Below are 24,081 nucleotides of genomic sequence, written 5' to 3'. Positions count from 1 at the left end.
GTCCTGATCACTGATTCAGGAATATATCTTACCTAGGATATGATAACAAAAAATAGCTGAGCCAGGTCTTTTGACTCCCAAGTTCTCTTCTTTATACATACAATACTGGATGTTTTTTGTTTGCATGTCCAGATCTACTCTCATTCAGCCTTCTCTACCCTGCTCTGTGCCCCAGGAGGTTGACCTCTAAGGACTGCCTTAGAGGCAGTTGGCTTCTGGTTGGATTTACCCAGTGTGAGGCACTGGCAGGATATCGGAGAGCCAAAGAAATGAAACATCTGTGTTTAGGTACACAGATATCATTGTGTTGCAAATGCCTCCAGTATTCACTACAGTAACATACTGTACAGGTTTGTAGCCTAGGAGCAATAATCTATACAGTATACCCTAGGTGTGTAATAGACTATAACATCTAGGTTTGTGTAAGTGTGCTCTGTGATCACACGACAAAATCACCTAATGACACATTTCTCAGAATGTATCCTGATCATTAAGTGATGCATAACTGTATTTGTATAGATTGAGCTCTCTGACTGTTCCTTATCTATCCTGTGTTTGTGAAGGGAAATATAAACCGAGGGACATGAGGTGAAGTTTGTTTGAGTGAAATGTTTTTCCAGAGAACACATGTTAATTAGGAGGTCAGCCATAGGAGGAAAAAAACACATAGAAAAAGGCACATTAATCATGAGTTTCTGGGTCGTGTATGTATCACAAAGTGAACATACCTTTGTAACCACTATGCATACTGCACATATTAAGAAAGTTTGGCTGGGCACTGTGGCTGACGTCTATAATCCCAGCACTTTGGGAGGCCAAGGCGGGCGGATCACTTGAGGTCAGGAGTTCGAGGCCAGCCTGACCAACATGGTGAAACCTTGTCTCTACTAAAAATACAAAAATTAGCCAGCATGGTGGCGCATGCCTGTAATCCCAGCTGAGGCAGGAGAATTGCTTGAACCCAAAAGATGGAGGCTGCAGTGAGCCGAGATTGCTTCACTGCACTCCAGCCTGGGCAACAGACACAGACTGTGTCTCAAAAAAACAAAAAAAGTTCCCTTTGTGCCTCACCACAAAATGTAGCCACAATCCTGACTCCTAACATTGTACATTAATTCTCTCTGTTTGGAACTTTTTATAAATAGAATTATACCACATACTCTTTTGTATGAGAGTCCTGTCTTGTGTGTAGCAGTATTTTATTCCTTTTCATTGCTTCATTGCTTTAGAGTGTGAATATACCACAAATTATGTATTCATTCTACAGTTGATAAAATTATGGGTTGTTTCCAATATTTTGAATATTATTACTAATGCTATTGTGAGCATTGTTAAGTATGTCTTTTAATGTATGTGTACATTCATTTTTCTTATGCATTCCTTTCTAGGAGTGAAATTGTTGGGTAATAGGGCATCTCTGTGTTCCAATTTGATATTGTTAAACAGTTTTCCAAAGTAATTGTGCCATTTTACACTCCCACGAGTAGTGTAAGAGAGTTCCTATTCTTCCACATCCTTGCTAACACTTGGAAATGTCAGTCTTTTAATTTTAGCCATCCTATTAGGTGTGTTGTCTCTGAATGTGGCATTAATGTGTTTTTTCCTGATGACTGATGATGTTGAGCACTTTTCATATCCTTTTGTGAAATGCCTGTTAAGTCCCCTGCCCGTTTTTCTATTGGATTGTCTATGTTTTCTTATTGATTTGTAAGCATTCTTTACATAGTCTGGGCACTGTGCCTTTATTAGTTATATGTGGCAAAAGTCTCCTCCCATACCCTTAATACTGTCTGTTGATTTTATTCTAGTCCAGTTTATCAGTCTTTTATTTTATGGTTGGTATTCTTGTATGTTCTGTTTAAGAATTTTTTCATAGAAATAGTCTCTTTTGTCTCCTAGAAGCTTTATATTTAGATCTGTAAACCATCTGTAATTGATTTTCACACATGGGTGAGCCATCCATCCATCAAGTTTCTTTTCTCAGGTGGATAACCAGTAGACATAGTATTTTTCTTTTTTTAAAGGCCATTTATTCTCAGTTCTCAGCAACATCACCTTTGTCAGAAATCAAGTCTCATATACATATATATGACTTTTTTTTTTTTTTTTTTGAGATGGAGTCTCGCACTGTTGCTCAGGGTGGAGTGCAGCGGCGCAATCTCGGCTCACTGCAAGCTCCACTTCCCGGGTTCACGCCATTCTCCTGCCTCAGCCTCCCGAATAGCTGGGACTACAGGGGCCCGCCACCACACCCGGCTAGTTTTTTGTATTTTTAAAAGAGACAGGGTTTCACTGTGTTATCCAGGATGGTGTCAATCTCCTGAACTTGTGATCCGCCCATCCTGGCCTCCCAAAGTGCTGGGATTACAGGCGTGAGCCACCGCGCCTGGCCTATATGGGACTTTTTCTTGACTACTTTTTGTTCCACTGGTCTTTGTATTCATCCTTGTGGCATAGCACACTATGTTAATTACTGTAACTTTATAAGAAGTCATTATATCTGGCGGTGTTAGAGCCCTTTCCCTACTTTGTTCTGCAAGATTGTGTAAGCTATTCTTAGCCCTTTGTATTTGCATGTATACTTGATGGTCAGTTATAAACAACAACAAAAAGACCTGCTAAAGGCAGTGAGAAATCATTGAAGTCAGAGTGATAATGACCAGAAGTTTTTTCTGGTCAGCTCAAATCTAGAATCTTTTATTAAGATTAAAGAATGCCCTTGTTGTTATTTCAGCATTAGTCTTGTAGTTTCTTATAGACTATTTAATAAATTGGCCTTGTTAAAAAAAACAACTACTACTAATGGTTAAGAAACATACTTGTTTGAAATTTCATATTTATAAAAATATACAAACTAAGAATACAATTAAATGATCTTGATTTTTTTATTTTTTATTTTTCAGAACATCCATGATAGCAGTCTTCTGTAAATCGAACTTTTCAAGAATTCTCTGAAGGAACCAAGTAGGATATTCTTACATCATGACTTAATGTGAATGCAAGAACAAGAAATAGGTTTTATCTCTAAATATAATGAAGGGCTGTGTGTAAACACTGACCCTGTCTCAATTCTAACAAGCATTTTAGACATGAGTTTACATCGGCAAATGGGTTCAGATCGAGATCTTCAGTCCTCTGCTTCATCTGTGAGCTTGCCTTCAGTCAAAAAGGCACCCAAAAAAAGAAGAATTTCAATAGGCTCCCTGTTTCGGAGGAAAAAAGATAACAAACGTAAATCAAGGGAGCTAAATGGCGGGGTGGATGGAATTGCAAGTATTGAAAGTATACATTCTGAAATGTGTACTGATAAGAACTCCATTTTCTCTACAAATACCTCTTCTGACAATGGATTAACTTCCATCAGCAAACAAATTGGAGACTTCATAGAGTGCCCTTTGTGCCTTTTGCGGCATTCTAAAGACAGATTTCCTGATATAATGACTTGTCATCACAGATCTTGTGTGGATTGCTTACGACAATATTTAAGGATAGAAATCTCTGAAAGCAGAGTTAATATTAGTTGCCCAGAATGTACTGAACGGTTTAATCCCCATGATATTCGCTTGATATTAAGTGATGATGTCTTGATGGAAAAATACGAAGAATTTATGCTTAGACGGTGGCTTGTTGCAGATCCTGATTGTAGGTGGTGTCCAGCTCCAGACTGTGGGTAAGAAGATAATGTTTGATTTTTCTTGAGTTAATTTTTTTCTCTGTGGATAAAATAATTTGCTATTACTCAAAAGAAAAATTTTTACATGCTGGAGAATTCATTCAACAGACATGTTGAGTGCACACCATATGTCAGGCACTATGCTAGGTGTTAAAGGCAGTGATCCTATCTTACTCATTTCTATATCGTCTCTGCGTTACATACTCACTGAGCACTTTTAGAAGGAAAGGGTAAGGTGGTAGAGTACAGGATCTAGTTGTATACAAAATTGGTTTTCTCATCCATTTGGAGAATTTTTATTTTGGAATAACAGATGAAATGATCAGGTTTGTTTATGATGAGGGGGTTATTTGTGGTCATAAATTCAAATGACCTTCTTTATTTTTTTTCTCTTTGTTGACATGTTTCTCATATGAGATAAATGGCCCTTTTGAAAGGTACCTACCTTAGCATGTGCCACAGTATGATGTGTTCATGTTGATATACATAAGCATTTGCTAGTCTCAAGTTCTAGGGGTTATGTAATATTGGATTTGCCTCAAGTTTTTGAATTACACATACCATATTCTCAACATTTAAAATAAAATAATTTTGCTTATATATTTGATTATTATGTTGGTGAGCAGCTCCTGTTTATAGAGTATTTATTGTGTACAGTTGTCAGAATTAGGGAAACAGTAGTCATATACTATTCAGGAATAGTAAAAGCCACAAACAATTAATGTGATACGTAGCATACTATTAGTAAACCAGAGATTATAAGTAAGGTTTGGGGAAACCTAGAACTTCCAAGATTATCTGGGTATAATCTCAGAGGCAAGACTGGGATGTGAGTTTCATTTATCAAATTACAACTTCAAGACTCATTACCTGAATCAAATCCACTATTTAAAAGTTTCTTGAGTAGTGAATTTTCAGATCGCATCTAACCTACATTCCATAATTTTAAATGAGAAAAGTAGTGTTTCCTGCCTGTGCAAATCCCAATTTTCCCAGGTATCACTAACACTTTACCATCCACCAAGGATTTCTATGTAATATACAACATTCAAAAATTACCTAATTAATATTTTATGAATTAGTTGTATGTAGGATTCAGATATTATTCATTATTAGATTTGAATTATGCTGTCCTATACTGCAGGGAGCTTGTACTATAATATAGATAACAACAAAATACGTTATGGATGCTGTCTAAACTGGGCCAAGGTTAGCTGTGTTTCCAGGTGTAATGGCAGAAGCAAACTCTGGGACGTATGCAGGGCTAAATTTTCAAGAAAAAGGTGGGAAGAAAATAGGAATAATGAATAGTAGCTTTAAATAACTTGAGCAGAAGACAGTATTCTGACAGAAAAACAGCTTAGATGCGATTGAATCGCCCTTGATCCCATGGACTGACCCCTGCATAACGTTTTCACAGGTGCAAGTGTGCATTTCCACTGGTGCACATGTGCAAGTTATACTCTTGAAATTAGAGTAGATTTCAAGTAGGATAGCAAATTTTAGTTTTAAAAAAACTTTTTGTGAGTCATTATAACAAATACTCCCATAGCAAGAGTTCAGGTACTGAGGAATATGTCTATGTTATGTTTCATCTACAGAAAGAGTGTGATTTTTCTGTCTATCCTTCATAGAACCCCAGGGTGCAAGAGGTGCTTCATACATTCCTCTAAATTTTTAATAGCTTAAAAAAAATCTACAACTGGGCGTGGTGGCTCATTCCTGTAATCCCAGCACTTTGAGAGGCCAAGACGGGAAGGTAACTTGAACCCATGAGGTCGAGGCTGCAGTGAGCCGTGATTGCGCCACTATACTCCAGCCTGGGCAACAGAGCAAAGCCCTGTCTTAAAAAAAAAAAAAATTCTGACAATGATAAAGGAAAAGGAGACTTAAGTTGTCACAGCCTTTGGCCAGGAGATATTAAGACAGTAAATTCAGGGACACAAACCTTCTGGTCACTTAATTGCTGTATATTATCTTGTACTAGATTGATTGGTAATGTCATCATAATATATAGTTAATACTAGCAACCTAATTGAACACAATAGGTAGGGCTAAAGCAAATTATAATTTGTATAAGAACTTGATTTTAGGGGAAACATGCCAAACCAACTGGAAAAGAATTGATTATTCAACATATAGAATTACGAAAATTAGTTATTTGAGGGGGAAAACATTAGATTGTCACCAATATATTAAAATCAAAACAGATTACAGAGGTGTAGGTTATATAAATAAAAGGAAAAAATTAAAAGAAAATATAGGTGAATGATTAACCTACTGCCACATTGTGTATTAAAATTGAACACACATTTATTCTACAACTGAGAATTTCAACTCCTAGGTAAGTACTGTAGAGAAAATCTTTACTTGTGTACCAGGAGATTTGTACAGGGATGTTCCACAATAACAACAACAAAAAAATGTTCATTAACAGTAGAATAGATAAATATATTTGGTTTTATTGGTTACCTCTTGAGAGTAGGAAGAGGGGATGTGAACTTCAGGGGGTAACCAAGTTACTTGTAAAGCCACTGGTAAATAAAGGTTCTGATTTCCAGTTCATGCTTAGTATACTGATACAATTTTTAATAGCACTACATTTCTTTCTCAAGTGTTCCAATTTAGATTGTGAGTTAATGATCATCCTGCTGATAATGTTTCTTAACTTCAGTGGTAGATACAGGAGTATTATTTTACTATTCTTTATAAACCTTTTTTATATGTGATATTTCTTAATAAAAATAATCAGAAACTCATACTTTGGGATATTTTGGCACATTTTCTTCTCATTGAGACTTCATTGTTAAAAAGTAAAATGGCTCAGTATTAATATTTTAGAGATGATAATTCAAATGTTAACTCAAATATAAAATATCATAAAATAATAGAAACACTTGCTTTACTAGACTCTGTTACTATGAAAACAACCACGTGATTATTATATAAATTTAACAAATAATTGTCCGTGATTAATTTGGCCATACATTAATTTTTGGTGTTATTGGTTGTCATAGTCTTACCCACAAAGGACAGAGGAAAAAAAGTCACAGAGATTACTTTTGTGTATTTTATTTTATATTTGACTTATACTGCTCTGTTAGTTGTTATGGTCGTATTTCACATACTTGGTGATGTAGGTTTTATGATTGTGTTTTGAAGAAAATGTCACCCAATAATATAAAATTTGTATGTATACTTCATAGGATACTACACAAGCCCTCATTAAAAGTTAGCTTTACTTATTATGAGCTGTAAATACCTGATTTTGAGTCCCTATCCTATCTTGTTGTTATAAGGATTAAGTGAGATCTTTAATGCTATTACTAGCAAAATTCCTAGCACACAGTAAGCTTGTCATTGCTCTTACTTATTATTCTTCATCTGTATTTCCAAAGTTTTGCTTTTTTTTTTTAAATCAGATAATCATTCAAATATTTAATGCACCTATGTACCAGGAACTGGAGGTTTATTAATGAACACAAGACAAAAATCCCTGACCTATTGAAGCTTACTGAAGCCTTTGAAACACACAGAGGACCGCCCTTTTTAAAAATTAAAACCCCATTTTTTATTTAAATCTGGCATAAGAAATATTGGTAAATTTCTGAATATTTGATTTTTATAAAAATGGTTAGCCACGGTGTCAGGACCATAGGCATATAGGTAGTATTTAACCCTTTTATTATATAACACACTTGAAAGGTTCTTTTCCAGAAATGCTAGATGTGAAATTATGAATTTTTTCTTTTGCATTTGTTATTTATAGGTATGAACATTTTCTGTATCTGACATTAATTTTACTTAAACATACAGTTTAACACACCTTGAGAAATACTGTCCTTACCACAGAGTAGAAAAGAGTTCTACCTGACCTGGTTTCCATTTAAGATCTCTTGGGGTTTCTGACCTAATATTCTTTCCACTCTTTTGAGGGCTAGGACTGATCATACTTGTTTGAAGGACGGTATTTCTAAAAATCCCACTTGAGGAGGGGCCCAGGGGACCAAATTTGAGTGCTGTGATTTAACCAGAGTAAGTCTAGCTAGACAGCTTCTAGAACATGCCAGTCCTCACAGGTTCAGAGAAAAATCCAGCCATAGTTAGGGAGAAAAATTGGGGGAGGGATCCCAGTGTGCAAGGAGGAGAAGCATAGAAGCTGCCTTGAATAAAAATATCTGATTACCCTCTGCCTTGGAGTCCTAGTTTGTACATTGTCTAGGCAGATGAGCAAAAAGTTGTTGTTTTAGTTTCTATCACCTGTTTCAGTTGGCTAAGGCCACCCTGCTACCAGCGCACATTATCCCTGTCATCCCATGTGAGTTCTTCTGACTTTGCTGGGGAGCTTTGAATATACAAGAACATTTATTATACTGGGACATAATTAATGATTTATTGTCTCTGAGCCTCCCAAGGATCCTCCAGAAAAGTTCCTTTTTGTTTTTGGAACCACAGGCTAACCTCATGCTCAATAAAAAATTGTTCAATGAACCAGCCTGACTGTATGCTACTAACATAACTCATATACATTTGGGTAATGTGATCAACTATAATTGGCTTTGTGTAAGCTTCAAGCTGGTTTGCTATGACATTTAAATGGTTTTCAATGATAACTTACTCTGGTGGAGAATATTGTTCTTAATGGATTAAAAAAAATAGGGCCATAGACTTAGGGACTAAATAACATGTATTTTTAGAATTCTAATTAATGTCTGTGTAACTCATTCTCATCCTGCAAAGATGTGTTTTAGCTATACCTTGACTATCTTTTGACATGCTGGAAATGCTGTTGTAGACCTTTTACAAATTTTGCAGAGATCACAGATCCTACTTTGATTTTATCCAGAGAAAACAAGTACATGGGACTTAGAAAACAGATTTAGGGTATAAAGAGCCATAATGAATAAACTACATTTCAGGGGAAGTTGTAATTCATGACTAGTGATAAATTGTATGTGTTAGAACACACATACATAAACATATTATAAGAGTTAATAGCTTGAACTGAGAGTGCTATTTTTAATTTATTCTTCCTAACCATAAAATTAACCCAGGTATATTTTAACACTAAATAATTAAATATACTATGTGGGTAGTTCTTTGAAGTTTAAAAATCACATTTTCTATGTCTTCTGACAGTGTAATAAACTTTAAGCATTTCAGATTTTGAATTTTTTGACTAGGGATGCTCAATCTGTATATTACTCCTATACCAAACATTGTTAGTTGATACTAAGATTTTTGGTGGTGTTTTAATGAGTCAATAAAAATAACATTCTTCCCCTTCACCCTCATTCAAAACCATGTTAATGTATGACACAGGAGACATGTCAGCTTTCTCTAATTAGTTGACTAAAGAATGTAGCTTTGGATATGCAGCCAAAATGGCTGGCTAACACTTCATCCCTAAATTGGACAGACTTCCCCAACTAGTCTCAGGCATGTAGCCCTGAGAACAACTGAAGGCCTCTCCTGCAGCATATAGTGGAAAAAAGAACCAGAATGCATCCTGTCTGCAGGTTGCAAATCCTAAAAAAGGGAACCAGGAGATGAACCTCCCTTTGTCTAGACCTTCTCTCAAGTATATTAAGTAAGTCATTCCTTTTTCACTGGAATAATCAAAATGTTAAAGTAGAAACATGAGCCTCTTGATTCTGATATAAAACTTGACTGTTCCCCTTAACTGGATCAAATAATTTTGCTATTTCTGATTATATTTTCTTTCTGTTCTTACCTTTAAAGAACAAAGAAAGTTATTTAAAGGTATGTTAAAAGCTTTATGCTTTAAAAAATTATTTTGGACTTACAGATACTTTTTCTTCATTCTCTTTTAATCGACGTGACATGAGAGACAGTGTCATTTTGTAATCAAAATATTTATTGAGACTGTCATGTCTTTCTTAGGATTACATTTCATGTTAGGTATGTTTTTTTCTTCTTACTTGTTCCTCACAAGGAATTTGCTCCAGGTAGAATATATCACCCTATCTGGTATCCCTACTTGCTTGATGTTATCAATAGTATAATTTATAAAACATAGTACTATGAAATTCTCCCAGGAGATATTATAAATGACTTAATTTAAGTAAATTAAGAAAATACTGCAGACTATGTACTGAACATTGGTATGTTAATTGTTTTAGCAAATCCTATAATAGAAAACAAAAACCACTTTAATTTTACTTGGCATTTTCCTAACTTGACCACTGAGTTCTTAGTGTGGGTCACCTGTTAACAATGCAGTGAACAGAAGATACTTCTGGAGAGACTGCTGTTTCAGCCCCTTCCTGTCTTCCCCACTTTCTTGCTGTCCATCCACTCCTAGGTTAAGCATTTCAAGTACAGTACCTAGAGACCTTCAGCTGAAGGATAGAGAAGGAAAGTAAGGCTTGAATTAAATAATGGACCATGGAAGGAAATGGAGCTAACCACTAAACTAAGGTCTGGGGGCTGTTTGAGTCAGAGATGTTCAGTTATTTCCATGACCTTCTATTGAGCCTGTTCTTTTTCCAAATAACACTTATTATACCAGAGCAGAGAGACTCCTGGAATTTTCTATAAAGCAAGTGTCTTGTATTTAATTTACTTTTACCATTTGCTTCCATTATAATTTGAGAGTTGTTTTTCAATGGCAAGTAAATACAGCTCCCACAAAAGGAACGTCATCTTCAAGAGGCCTGACAATCTGTTTTCAAAATGTGTGAATGCCAGGTACATTTAATTCCTTGATATATTACAGAACGTGCCTAATACTGTTATGGTTAGGATTGAATACATATGAATGTGAAACACCTACATAGGAAGCACTCAATAAGTGTTAGTGTGAGAAAAAACTACTAGACAAACTGCTCTAACTTTTGTTGTCAGATTATACATTTATGAAAACATTTGGTCAGTATTATTAAAGTAAACATGTTTTTCTTCGGAATTTGTATAAATTCAGTAAGACTTGAATGTTTAGTTCTAGGGGTAGGACATCTTACCTTTTCCATTTAAAAAATACTGAGAAGTAGCATAAAATGTTGGTACTTTAACATTTGAGTAAATATAACATGCCGTGAACTAAACTCTCCTTTTCTCTCTACCCCCGTAACCCTACCTGTCCTCTGTCTTCCTCTCTCCTCATCTCTCTTCACAGACACACAAACACTACATATGTATAATCTTATTTTAATCTCACAAGTCTTTTTATTATTTGCTAGTTTGGGGGATATATTTTGACCAAATGCCAGGTGGCCAAAGTCAGGTATCTCCGTCATAGTATGATGAACTTCTGGGATACAAGAATAAATGGAAATTTTTAGTTAATTTTTAAAAACTAGCAATCAAGGGCCGGGCACTGAATGGAGATTTGTTCAAATCCAGTCCTGCCCCTTAATGACTGGCCAATTCACTGTATTTCTTTTAACTTCAGCTTCATTATCAAAGTGGAGGAATTATGATTATAAGTAATCATAGGGAGTATAGAGATAACAGTGCTTTAAGATAGCTATCTTAAGAGATTGAAGTTATGAAAAATTAAAAGAAATCAGAAATGAAGCCAGGAGTGGTGGTTCACACCTGTAATCCCAGCACTTTGGGAGGCCAAGGTGGGCAGATGAGGCCAGGAGTTCGAGACCAGCCTGACTAACATGGCAAAACCCCATCCCTACTAAAAACACAAAAAATTGAGGCTGGGTGTGGTGGCTCACACTTGTAATTCCAGCACTTTGGGAGGCTGAGGTGGGCGGATCACTTGAGGTCTGGAGTTCGAGACAAGCCTAGCCAACATGGCAAAACCCCGTGTCTACTAAAGATACAAAAAAAATTAGCCAAGCATGGTGATGCGCCCCTGTAATCTGAGCTTGAACCTGGGAGGCGGACGTTGCAGCGAGCCAAGATTGTGCCACTGCACTCCAGCCTGGGCAACAGAGTGAGACTCCATCTCAAAAGTAAATAAAAAATAAAAGTACAAAAATTGGCCAGGTCTGGTGGCTCACGCTTGTAATCTCAGTTACTTGGGAGGCTGAGGCGTGAGAATCACTTGAACCTGGGAGGTGGAGGTTGCAGCAAGCCGAGATTGCACCACTGTGCTCCAGCCTGGGTGACGGAGTAAGATTCTGCTTAAAAAAACAAAACAAAACAAAACAAAACCTGGCAATCAAATATTAAATGTTTGACGTGGTAATGCAGGATTAGTAATTTCCCCTACACTACCAGCTATTAGTTTGCTCCTAATAAATATACCGTGTGTATATATGTATATTTTATACTGTGTATTTTAAAAATTCTAAATATTCACTTTAATATCACTATTGATATAATTCAGGAAAAAGTTTTATAGTAATATATTTTATAGGAGGAACATTATATTTGGTATAAAGTTTGGATAAATCTCAAAAATCTTGTTCTCTATAAGCAGCCATTTTCATGAGTTTAAGTCTCTAGACTCAGAACTTGTAAGGAATTATCATCTGAAAGCAATTTATGAAGCTGTTTTAAAATTTAATTATTGAGAAGATCTGAACAGAGTTAGAAATACAAGGAAAAATTTGAGAAGAAAATATGCTTTAGGTCCACGGTTTTCTCTGTTTTCTTGCCAAACCCCTTCATGTTTTTATGGAAATTGTACCAGATTTTGGAACTTGTCATGAAATTTTTAAACGGCGAGGTTGATGTTCTGCTTTTAATTCTTCTTGTCAAGAAGAAGTACTTTTTTTTAAAACTTAATTCATTAATTTTTTTTACTTAAATCATTAATTAAAAATTAGGTCAGTTCTTTAAAGTTAGTGTAGTGCTATGAATACTAGTATATTGAACAGCCTTCTACAAAGGTTAGAATTATATGTAATCTAATTTCTATTAATCTGCCTTGTATATTTTTATAAATACTTATTTGCTTAGAAACGATATATTCTTCCTAAATTTATATAGATAAAGCACTCTCAGTGTTCATATTAGCTGTAAATTGTTTTCCTATTTAATTATTTGAAAGTTAAGCATGTACCTAAATTTGGCTTTTACAGTCATCACAAAGATTATAGCATTTTACTCTTGCAACATACTGGACATTTATACTTAAGTGACTCAGTTATCCAGTAAAATGTTACCATATAAAAGATTTCTATTGTTATGTCTAAAATGCCAACCAATATTTATTTTGAGTATTCAGATATTAATATTCAATCCTAATAACACATTATTTATATTACTTATGTAGAAATGATAGTCACTTGTATGATCAAATGGTCATTAGTCAAGCACAAGTGCAGAACTATGAGAAATGTTATCAAAGCAGCCATGTGCTTATTTGGCATTCTAAAGGCCAAGGCCAAAGCCAAAGATTATTTTGGCTGAATACTGAGGCTAAGCCAAACTAAAGTGAATGCCTGTTTTATGTATGGGAAAACTTAGTTGTTGGGAGATAATGTAATTTACTTAAAATTACACAAGTATTAAGTGGTGGAAGTAGAATTTGAACTGGCCACGCTAAAACTTCTTTGCTGCCTTTGTAAATTGTAACCAACTTCAGAAAACAGTTTTGGCATTGTCTCCTGCATACACAGATTTCCCCATTCTGCCCCTCCTCTTTCCTTCTTCCTTCCTTCAATAAAAGGTAGGTAGAGAAAAAGTTTGGAAGAGAATCCTTTTCACTGACGTTATTGTTTTAAAACAAAGACTACACTTTAGCTTATAGATACTTTAGATTAAAACTTTGATTAAAAAAAATAGGGTCTTTTTTCTTTATCTGGGACTGCGATGAATAAGCTGTCTTGGAAATTTTAAAGCTCAGGGAAATGAAGCTTTGTTAAATTACCCATTGCTGATTATAAATTGCCTTTAATTCAGTCCTGTTTGAACATATCTGGATAGAGAATGGTAATTAGATAATTGGTCTATCAGAAATAAGTGGAATTTAAGATGTGTTTAAAGAGTACGTGGTACTTGGGAGGCTGAGGCGGGCAGATCACAAGGTCAGGAAATCAAGACCATCCTGGCTAACACGGTGAAACCCCGTCTCTACTAAAAATGCAAAAAAATTAGCTGGGCGTGGTAGTGGGCGCCTGTAGTCCCAGCTACTCGGGAGTCTGAGGCAGGAGAATAGCTTGAACCCAGGAGGTGGAGATTGCAGTGAGCCGAGATCGCGCCACTGCACTCTAACCTGGGCAACAAAGCGAGACTCTGTCTCAAAAAAAAAGAGTGTGATACTAAGGGATCAACAAGTCCAAAAATGGAGGGAACTCCCTGACTCTTAAAATCCTGCACAATTTTATAGAGTATCTTAAAACTTAATTGCAATCTCAGTTACAATTATTACTTAAATTTTATTGACAGCTCTGAAAACTCCCCTAAATTTCCAGGCAAAAGGAAATGTTTAGTATTTACAAAAGACATGCATTGATAAAACTTGATTGTTGCTGCTTTCAAAGCAAACTAGAAACTTCTAGAAATTTTTAAATTGAAAGTTTTATAGAGGTAATGGTAGATTCACATGCAGTTGTAAGAAATAATTCAGAGATCGTATGTACCTTTCTCACTGTTTGTCTCGGTGGTGCCATTTTGCACAAGTTATAGAACAATATCAGAACCAGGATATTGGCATAGACACAATCTACCAATCTCACTCAAATTTCCTGATTTACTTCTAGTTATTTCTGCACAGTGTATTTAGTTATATGTATTTTATCATGTTTAAGTTTGTGTATCCACCACCACAGTCAAGATACTGAACAGTTCCATCACAACAAAGATCCCTCATTTTACTCCTTTTTTTCTTTTTTTTTTTTTTTTTTTTGGTACAGTGGTGTGATCTTGGCTCACTGCAGCCTCCGTCTGCCTCCCAAGTTCAAGCAGTTCTGCCTCAGCCACCCAAGTAGCTGGGATTAAAGGTGTGTGCCACCACTCCCGGCTAATTTTTTAAATATTTTTTGTAGAGATGGGGTTTTGCCATGTTGACCAGGCTGGTCTTGAACTCCTGACCTCAAGTGATCTGCCCACCTCGGCCCCACAAAGTGCTGGGATTACAGGTGTGAGCCACCATGCCTGGCCTGTGTTGCTCTCTTATAATCACATGTACTTCCCCCCACTCTTTCCCCTCCCCAGTCCCCATTCCTAATCCTTGGCAACCACTAATCTATTTGACATTTCAAAAATATATAAATGGAATCATACAGTATGTAACATTTTGAGATTGACTTTTTTCACTCGGTGTAATTCTCTGAAGAGTCACCTAAGGTGTTACTTGCATCAATACTTTCTTTATTGATGGTAGTGTGTATGCACTATAGCTTATTTAACCATTTACCTTTTGAAGGTCATCTGGGCTCATTCCAGTTTTGGTTATTCTGAATAAGGCTGCTTTGAACATTAGTGTACAAGTTTTTGTGTGAGCACAAATATTCATTTGTTTGGGATAAATGCCAAAGAATGCCTAGAAGTTAAGTCATAAGTTTTTAAAGTGTCAGAAATATTAACTCGGAGAAAGGTATTCCTGCTAGTCATGAATCTACAGTTCTCAGTCTTTAATCCGAAGGAAAAAAAAACAGTTTTTTTTTATTTTTTGGCAGGAGATTGGCACCAAAGACCACTTTTGCCATGCATCTTAGGAAGAAAAATGTGTGACTTCTGCATACATACAAAATTATCACAAAATTTATAAATTGGCACAGTATGCCATTACCTGACAGTTAAAACTAACCTATAGTCACTACATTTTTAAACAGGCAATCTTTTTTTCTTTTAACTTTTTCCACTTCAACAAGTAATTGTAGAAAATCAGAAATGTATAAACATATAAACAAGAAAATTAAAACCCAATACCAAGAAAACCATTATTAAGATTTTTGGTGTTTTTCCTTCTAGTCTTTTTTTTGTGTGCATACAATACTGTACTAATTTAATATGGTTTTTTATAAAATTGAGATTAGGCTAAATGCAATTTGGTATCCTACTTAAAAGTTGAGGGAGAGGGGCGAGAGTTGAAAAACTGCCTGTCAGGTACTGTGTTCACTGTTTGGGCGACAGAATCATTAGAAGCCCAAACCTCAGCATCATGCAATAGACCTATGTAACAAACTTGCACATGTACCCCCTGAATCTAAAAAAAAAACCCTGAACCTAAAAAAAAAACCCTGAAAGTTAAAAATTGAACTTTTAAAATATTTTACACCATTTATATATCTTCATTTGTAAACTTCATTTTCCCCCATTTTTATATTGGTGAGATTGTGCTTATGACTGTTTGCTAATGTATAAATAGAAAATGTTTTTCAGGAATAATCTTTAGTTGGATACTTTTTGAAATGAGTATCTCTTGTTTTATGTCACATTTTAAATCATTTTTCTTGTTCTTTCAAGATATGCTGTGATAGCATTTGGATGTGCCAGCTGTCCAAAATTAACTTGTGGGCGAGAGGGCTGTGGAACAGAGTTTTGCTACCACTGTAAACAGATTTGGCACCCCAACCAGACCTGTGATGCTGCTCGACAAGAGAGAGCCCAGAGCTTACGTTTGAGAACTATACGTTCTTCATCCATTAGTTATAGTCAAGAGTCTGGAGCAGCAGGTATTTATGTCTAATTTTTTCTAATAAAATATTTGACACAAAACACTAGTTATTTTAACTTTTTAAAGTTAAGTATTCCTGTTTTCCTTTCACTTGCCGAAAGTGTTTTTAAGTGCATTTCTATCCCAGAAGCACTCATTCTTTCCTATGGAAGAAAGTGGTTCTGAAATTAGAAAGATTATACTGTCCAGGAAAAAAGGAAGTGTTGTGATGATTTATATAACTGATAGCCAAAGATAGTCTGAAACTGTTGATTATAAAGGTATCTGTCCAGGTATGGTAGCTCACTCCTGTAATCCCAGTACTTTGGGAGGCTGAGGCGGGCCGACCACTTAAGGCCAGGAGTTCGAGAACGGCCTGGGCTACGTGGTGAAACCCCATCTCTACTAAAAATAATTTATATTCCTGCCAGCAGTGTATTGAGATAATCATGTACTTTATGCTACTAGAAAAAAAGTCACATGAAATTTTAACACAGAATGTTCGACATTTAATACTTTTGTAACATAAATGTTTTTTTATACTTGTTTGCTGATTGATTTGCTTCTCTTTCCTAAAGATTTGTGGAACTCAGTAGTATTAGTGTTAATTTGTAGGTATGGGTCCAGAAGCAATTCAGAGAGGACCTGAATATACCTAAACTGTTCCCTGAAGAGTCAGCAGTAGCCATTGGGTAGTTCACTTGGAAATGATATTCCTCTCCTCCAAGTTGGGGGTGTGTATTTATTGGTCACAGAACACACAGTCATACAGAGCAAGAGAGAATGACTCTGGAATCAGACTGCCTGAATTCAAATCCCACATTCTCTACTTACTCCGTGAGCAATCCTGAGCAAGTTACTTGTCTCATCTTTAAAATAAAGATACTGGCCAGTCACGGTGGCTCATGCCTGTAATCCCAGCACTCTGGGAGTCTGAGGCAGGCGAATCACTTGAGATCAGGGGTTCAAGACCAGCCTGGGCAACATGGTGAAACCCTGTCTCCACTAAAAAAATACAAAAATTAGCTGGGCGTGGTGGCGGGCGCCTGTAATCCCCAGCTACTCGGGAGGTGAGGCAGGAGAATCACTTGAACCCAGGAGGCAGAGGTTGCAGTGAGCCGAGATTGTGCCACTGCCCTCCAGCCTGGATGACAGAGTGAGACTCCATCTCAAAAAATAATAATGATGATAATAATAAAATAAAGATACTAATAATGCTTATGTCCATATAGTTGAAATAGTTCCTGGCTCATAGTAAGTGCTTTTGCTATATGAGGTAGGGGACCTTAGAGAAACCACAGTCACTTTCTAGAGATTTAAGTATGTCTGGGCTATCATTAAATTAAAAAACGACAGAAATGGCTTTTATTATTTTTTAAAATAAATCATGATTTAGTTATCCAAATGAATATTGGTCTTCCTCAACGTAGTCACCATGGGAGTTTTTGTGTTTATTTCAGCAGTGCTTCCCTGGAATGCCTCATTGGCATAACTTTTAGGATATGTCAGCTTAGTATCAGTTTGATTTCTGAGAATGACTAAAAGTTGCTTTAGAGCCAAGTCTAGCAGCTAGAGTATCATACCAGGTTGGATTATTGGTTTGGTATAGATGCAAAGTAAGATGTGACTATATGATCATGAGTGATTTTTCTTTTATCTAAAGGAGCTTTGAGGGTAATTATGAAAGAAAACCTTACCAAATGCTTTTAGCCGAACAATAACATTGTTGGAATAAATAGTCTCAAGGCGATTGTTTTAAAAAAAAACTTCATTTGGAATTTGTTCCATGTTTGTTTAAAAATCTTGGCTGGGCGCAATGGCTCACACCTGTAATCCCAGCACTTTGGGAGGCCAAGGCAGGAGGATCGCTTGAGCCCAGGAGTTCGAGACCAGCCTAGGCAATGTGGCGAGACTCCTTCTCTACAAAAAATTTAAAAAATTAGCCGGGCGTGGTGATGGGCATCTCTGGTCCCAGCAAGCCAGGAGGCTGAGGTGGGAGGATCGTTTGAGCCTAGGAAGTCAAAGCTGCAATGAAATATGATTGTGCCACTGCACTCCAGCCTGGGTGACAGAGTGAGACCCTGTTTCCAAAAACAAGAGGAAGAATTAGAAATGCAGTGAGGGCTGGGCGCAGTGGCTTATGCCTATAATTCCAGCACTTTGGGAGGCCAAAGCGGCCAGATTGCTTGAGCTCAGAAGTTCTAAAACTTCAACAGCCTGGGCAACATGGTGAAATCCCGTCTCTACTAAAAATACAAAAATTAGCCAGGCGTGGTGGTGTGCATCTCTAGTGGTGTGTGCCAGCTACTTGGGAGATTGAAGTGGAGGATTGCTTGACCCCAGGAGGTGGAGGTTGCAGTGAGCTGCCATTGTGCTACTGCATGCTAGCCTGAGCGACAGAACAAGACCCTATTAATTTAAAAAAAAAAAAAAGTGTAGTGAACTTGGCTTCTCGCAGACTCGTAGAAAGTTAAAAAGGAAGCTACCATCTAAATGGTTTTATTATTATTCCAGATATTTTGGTATTGTTTTCTGTATCATGATAGTCTAAAAAACTAGTTTTACTTTTAATATTAATTGGTATAATAATTAGTTGTTTTTTTTCCCCAGTCACTGAAGATGTGTGCTTAGTTACATAAAGTACATTAATATTTGTGTTTATAAAATAATACAATATTTATAGTATAATGTTTATATATGTGTTTAAATTGTGACAGCACTGCATCCACTTGAGGCTCTTTTTTATAGCTACTAGGAGGTTTAGGCACTTGGAGTTAAATTTTAAATGAACCACATATTTTTCATTTTTGTTAATGTAGTTTTCCCATTTTATGCAAATAAAATATTTAATTGGCTCTCCACTCCTGCCTCTGTCCCCTTACCGCTACCACCCTAAGAGATTATCATTGTTAACATTTGAGGACATGGTGTTTTGTAACCTGTTGTTTTTTCTTAATATGACAATGGCCCATATTTTAGCAGTAAACAAAAAGATACAGAAGATGAAAGCTTAGCCAAACACTGTAAATAGAAATGGGAAGCTTTTTCATATCGGGGAACGGTGGCTTAATTGATTCTTGGGGAATGGGGGATCAACTAACCATAAACAATTTCATTTAGGATTTTTGCATCATGAGGGTATTTGGAGAGAAATATATCATCCTATAATGTGCACAGTAAGTTTTTCCTAATTTGTTGCTTTGAGGAAAGACACAAAGCAAACTAAACAGCCTTTCATAGATAAATAAGTATACAGAGAGTGAAAGATATGGGTACAAGTATATAGAGACCTATCAAAAATACATTGCTTGTGGTATTAATTCTCATGTGTGATTTTAGCATATTAAAAGGCTGTTTTGTGTTTTTAGAACCATAAGAATAAATGGGGATGTTACCTTTCAGTTTGTTCCAAAGATTGCATGCATCATTACCAAAGCTTGAGTCTTTTTACTCCCCTGTCTTGTTGAGATACCTACTACTTGAGCATACTCTGGAATGAGAAAGTTTATCGATTAACATGCTGCTTACGCAGATAGGATTAGCATTTCCTTAATTTAGTATACCACGTGTTGTATCAGGCATAAAAGCCAGCTTTTTTTAGTCATACCCCAATGTTTAAAATTGTTAAATGCAGACTTCATGTTCTTTTGATCATTTAAATCATGACATGGATATTTTTAATTTTTATATTCTAGTAATTATCAATTGTCCTGGTCTGGCTGCTTAGAGTATCAGTTTGCTCAAAATTGCTTGAATCATTAAAGCAAATACTAATTGTGAGCATTGACCAGATCTTAAGTTAAAAAAAAAAAAAAAGCATCTTTGGTCCTAGAAGAAGTGCTAAGGAAACCTGAATTAACTGATAAAGCACAGGTAAAGTTTGACCATAAAACTTGTAGAAAGAATGGAATATAGCTTAATGCTTATAATGTAAGACATTGGAACAAATACTTAAATTCAGTGGTTAGCACTATAAATATCTTTTCTTAACTGTGAGTAGTTGGAAAATATAGCTGGCTAATAGTAATTACAAGTTACTATTTAAACAGATGCCAACATGCAAAGTAGTTGTATAATTTTCCTAAAGTTATGTTACACTTGATTTTAACTTGACGCCATTGTGCATTGTAACCATATTATTATACAAGGAGCATAGACCAACAACAGTTGAGTAAATGGGTGAATAAATGAATAAAAAGGATAAACACAACTAATTTAAAAGTCATGAGCATAACTAACAATGATTGCTTTTATTCTGAAACTGTTTTCCATGGTTTATAACGTTCATAGCCATATGACCCTTCCTTAATCTCTTCCTTCCTTCCTTGTATTTTGGGTACTGATTCTTTGCAAGGTCCATCTCTCTTTTGTGTGAAGTAAAATACTGGGAAAAGGCTGCTTTTCTAAAGATACCTGTTTTGCTATTTTTATAGTGCTTATAACTGATGTAATTAGAAGAAATAAATTCATAGTGCTTTGGATATAGCACCTCAGATTAATATCAAATTGTCACCTCCTGTTAGTGTTCATTCACTAAAGGAATAGTGTACAGAACGTGTACATTTGAATTAAGGGAAGATGGTTAGAAAAGTTCTGGAACCGGGAACTACCATTCAGAAGACTTCTATGGGACCAGGACAAAGACAAACTTTACGTAGTTCACAATTTGCCTAGAGCTGTCCTTGATTCTCCTTTCTCTTTTTATTCTTTTTTTATTCTTTGTTCTCATTGTTTTACTACTATGTTTTAAAAATGTTTATAACTTGATATTTTAATGTAAAGTATGTTTTCTTAGAAGGGAAGAAAAAATGCTTTATATACTAAAAACAGCAGGCTGAAGCTATAAGTTAACAAACTACATCTTAAGATTTTTTGACAGTGCTACAATTGGTAAACTGCTAGAAGTTATTTTTAGACCAGTTTTATGTACTTAATAGATTTCTCTGTGTTCCCAATAGCTGATGATATAAAGCCATGTCCACGATGTGCTGCTTATATAATAAAGATGAATGATGGGAGCTGCAATCACATGACATGTGCTGTTTGTGGTTGTGAGTTTTGTTGGTTGTGTATGAAAGAAATCTCAGATTTGCATTATCTAAGGTAAGCTTATAGAAGGAGCTATTTATATGTAAATGTAATTTTATATTGTAAGACAAAATAACTTGTCTTAAATTTGGGTTTTATAAGATACTTAAAGGGATTGGTTTTATTCTAGTTAAATAAATTTAAAAGAAACCAAGTTATTATGCTAGTCATTTGGAATTAATAACTAGTCAAAATAGGAAATGGATATTTCCTTTTTTTGTTTTTGTTAAACTAGAATGCTAGTAAGTATGTAATACCCTGTGTAATTATGCTAGACCCATAAATACTTTCATTTAATTTTCCCATACATAAATTTTATCATTTAGGCACAGAGTGAGTTTATGATATAATCAGATAATTGATGCCTAAAAATATGCATGTTTTGCATTAGTTTACTATTAAAAAACTGACTTAAGGGTTTGAGGATAATGGAGGACTAGGGATAAATTTTTAACCTGAATCTCAGTTATCAGTATCTTGTTAATATAATTTACAGTGGTTCTTACCTTATACTTCATTGAATTTTCCCATACATAAATTTTATCGTTTAGGCTACAGAGTGAGTTTGTGATATAATCAGATAATTGATGCCTAAAAATATGCATGTTTTGCATTAATTTACTATTAAACTGACTTAAGGGTATGAGGGTAATGGAAGACTAGGGATAAATTTTTAACCTGAATTTCAGTTATCAGTATCTTGTTAATATAATATAGATTAAATAATAAAATATAATATAAAATAAGATATATCAATATCTTGTTAATATAATTTATAGTGGTTCTTACCTTAGTTTAATGAACTCAGAATTTAAAGGGGAAAAAAGCTCCTAACTATGAGAAGTTTTTAAAAATAGTCATTGTTTTAATATAGTGCACTAATTTGTTATTGTGGTGTTTTGCAGCAGTTATTTACATTATAATTTTTTCCGTTAGTCCATCAGGATGTACTTTTTGGGGGAAGAAACCCTGGAGCCGAAAGAAGAAAATATTGTGGCAACTGGGAACACTGGTTGGTGCTCCTGTCGGAATCGCTTTAATAGCTGGCATTGCTATTCCTGCAATGATTATTGGCATTCCTGTGTATGTGGGCCGCAAGGTAAAATGCATACTTCTTGTTAGTCCATTATCTTATTCTAAATCTTTAGGTGTATTCTTTTAGTATTGATGATTTTTGGGTTTTTTTTTTTTTTTTTTTTTAGACAAAGGGTATCTTTAGTTTCTTCAGTATAAAACAGTTACTCTTTTTTCATAAATTTTTAGTGTTTGGCAAGCATATATAAATACGTATAAAGCAGACTTGCTTTAAAATGTTCTGAATCTGAAAATTTTAGTATGTTTGTATTATAAAACTTTGAGTATAAAATATTGAAGGATACACACCTGAGATTTTTCTCATAGGTATATCCTTGTAAGGTCAGGTCTATGAGATCTTTTTAATGAAAGTTAATAGCTAAATAACACATGCCCTCAGGCAAAGAATAATTAGCCAGTTCTTGAATTATTTCTGCTGTAGTTCAAAGCTTTTTTTTTGGATTACTGCTTTTAATAAATACACTATTTTGCAAATTATAACAATCTTGTGAAAGTCCAAACACCAGTGACTACCACTGGCCTCTAATTGATGAATTATATTTCATTAGCTAAGCAAATAGTTCTTTTGTTAAGGGTTAATGGGATAATTTATGAGGTCCTAAGAAGTCTGTTGTTGCCTAAATTAATAGAATCTCTGGATTGAGAAGTAACTTTCAGTAGAATATAGCTAAAAGAAAAAAAAAAGAAATTTTCTTTGGTATCCAAGAAGATCAAAAAAATTAAAACTTTTTTTAAAAAATAAAAAGAAATTAATCCCAACCTTGTACCCAAGCAGAACAAAGGATAGCAATTTTCAAAAAGGGAACTAACAGGCCAGGTGCGGTGCCTCACCCCTGTAATCTTAGCACTTTGGAAGGCTGAGGCTGGTGGATCATCTGAGGTCAGGAGTTCAAGACCAGCCTGGCCAACATGGTGAAACCCCATCTCTACTAAAAATACAGAAAAAATTAGCCAGGCATGGTGGCAGGTGCCTGTAATCCCAGACTCGGGAGGCTGAAGCAGGAGAATCACTTGAACCTGGGAGGTGGAGGTTGCGGTGAGCTGAGATTGCACCATTGCACTCCATCCTAGGCAACAAGAGCAAAACTCCATCTCAAAAAAAAAAAAAAAGAACTAACAAGCTGGGCATGGTGGCTTACTCCTGTCATCGTAGCACTTTGGGAGGCTGAGGCAGAAGGATCACTTGAGGCTGGGAGTTCAAGACCAGCCTGGACAACATAGTGAGACCCCATCTCTCAAAAAAATTTAAAAATTATCTGGGTATGGTAGTATGCACCTGTAGTCCCAGCTACTTGGGAGGCTGAGGTGGGAGGATTGCTTGAGATGGGCAAGTGGAGGCTGCAGTGAGCTGTGATTGTGCCACTTCACTCCAGCCTGGGTGATAGAGCAAGATCCTATCTCTAAAATAAAAAAAGGATCTAAAGGTTGTCATACTGTGTCATAGGTGTTGTATGTACTTTTACTTATTTTAACCCTGCAGCAACCTCGATATTTCGGTCTCTGTGTGTTAAAATATTGAGATTTAGGAAAGTTTATGTAATATATCTTCAGTTACACACAAAGAAGCAGAGCTGAGATTTGAACTCAGATGCATGAATTCTTAATATAAGTTCCATGATTAAGTTTCAGTAGCTATTTGGGAACTCAGTCATGGGGAAACCACCAACTCATGAAGCAATCCATTCTGTTGTAAAATGGC

General features: G+C 35.6%; 1 protein-coding gene across 17 annotated transcripts in view; it reads left to right on the top strand.

Annotated features, from left to right (window-relative positions):
* Positions 1-24,081, top strand: part of RNF19A (ring finger protein 19A, RBR E3 ubiquitin protein ligase) — a 79,138-nt gene that overhangs the window by 45,034 nt on the left and 10,023 nt on the right. For all 17 annotated transcript variants that reach the window (NM_001280539.2, XM_047421671.1, XM_047421673.1 and 14 more), the window contains 4 exons: positions 2,904-3,670; positions 16,010-16,218; positions 21,158-21,302; positions 22,224-22,386. In NM_001280539.2, coding sequence (NP_001267468.1) covers positions 2,997-3,670; positions 16,010-16,218; positions 21,158-21,302; positions 22,224-22,386 — 1,191 coding nt within the window. In that variant the 5' untranslated portion in view covers positions 2,904-2,996. The remainder of the gene's footprint in view (positions 1-2,903; positions 3,671-16,009; positions 16,219-21,157; positions 21,303-22,223; positions 22,387-24,081) is intronic.

Source organism: Homo sapiens, chromosome 8, assembly GCF_000001405.40.
Source record: "Homo sapiens chromosome 8, GRCh38.p14 Primary Assembly".
Taxonomy (NCBI): Eukaryota; Metazoa; Chordata; class Mammalia; order Primates; family Hominidae; genus Homo; species Homo sapiens.
The sequence above is the reverse complement of the archived record's forward strand: the minus strand, read 5'-3'. Positions and strand labels throughout refer to the sequence as shown.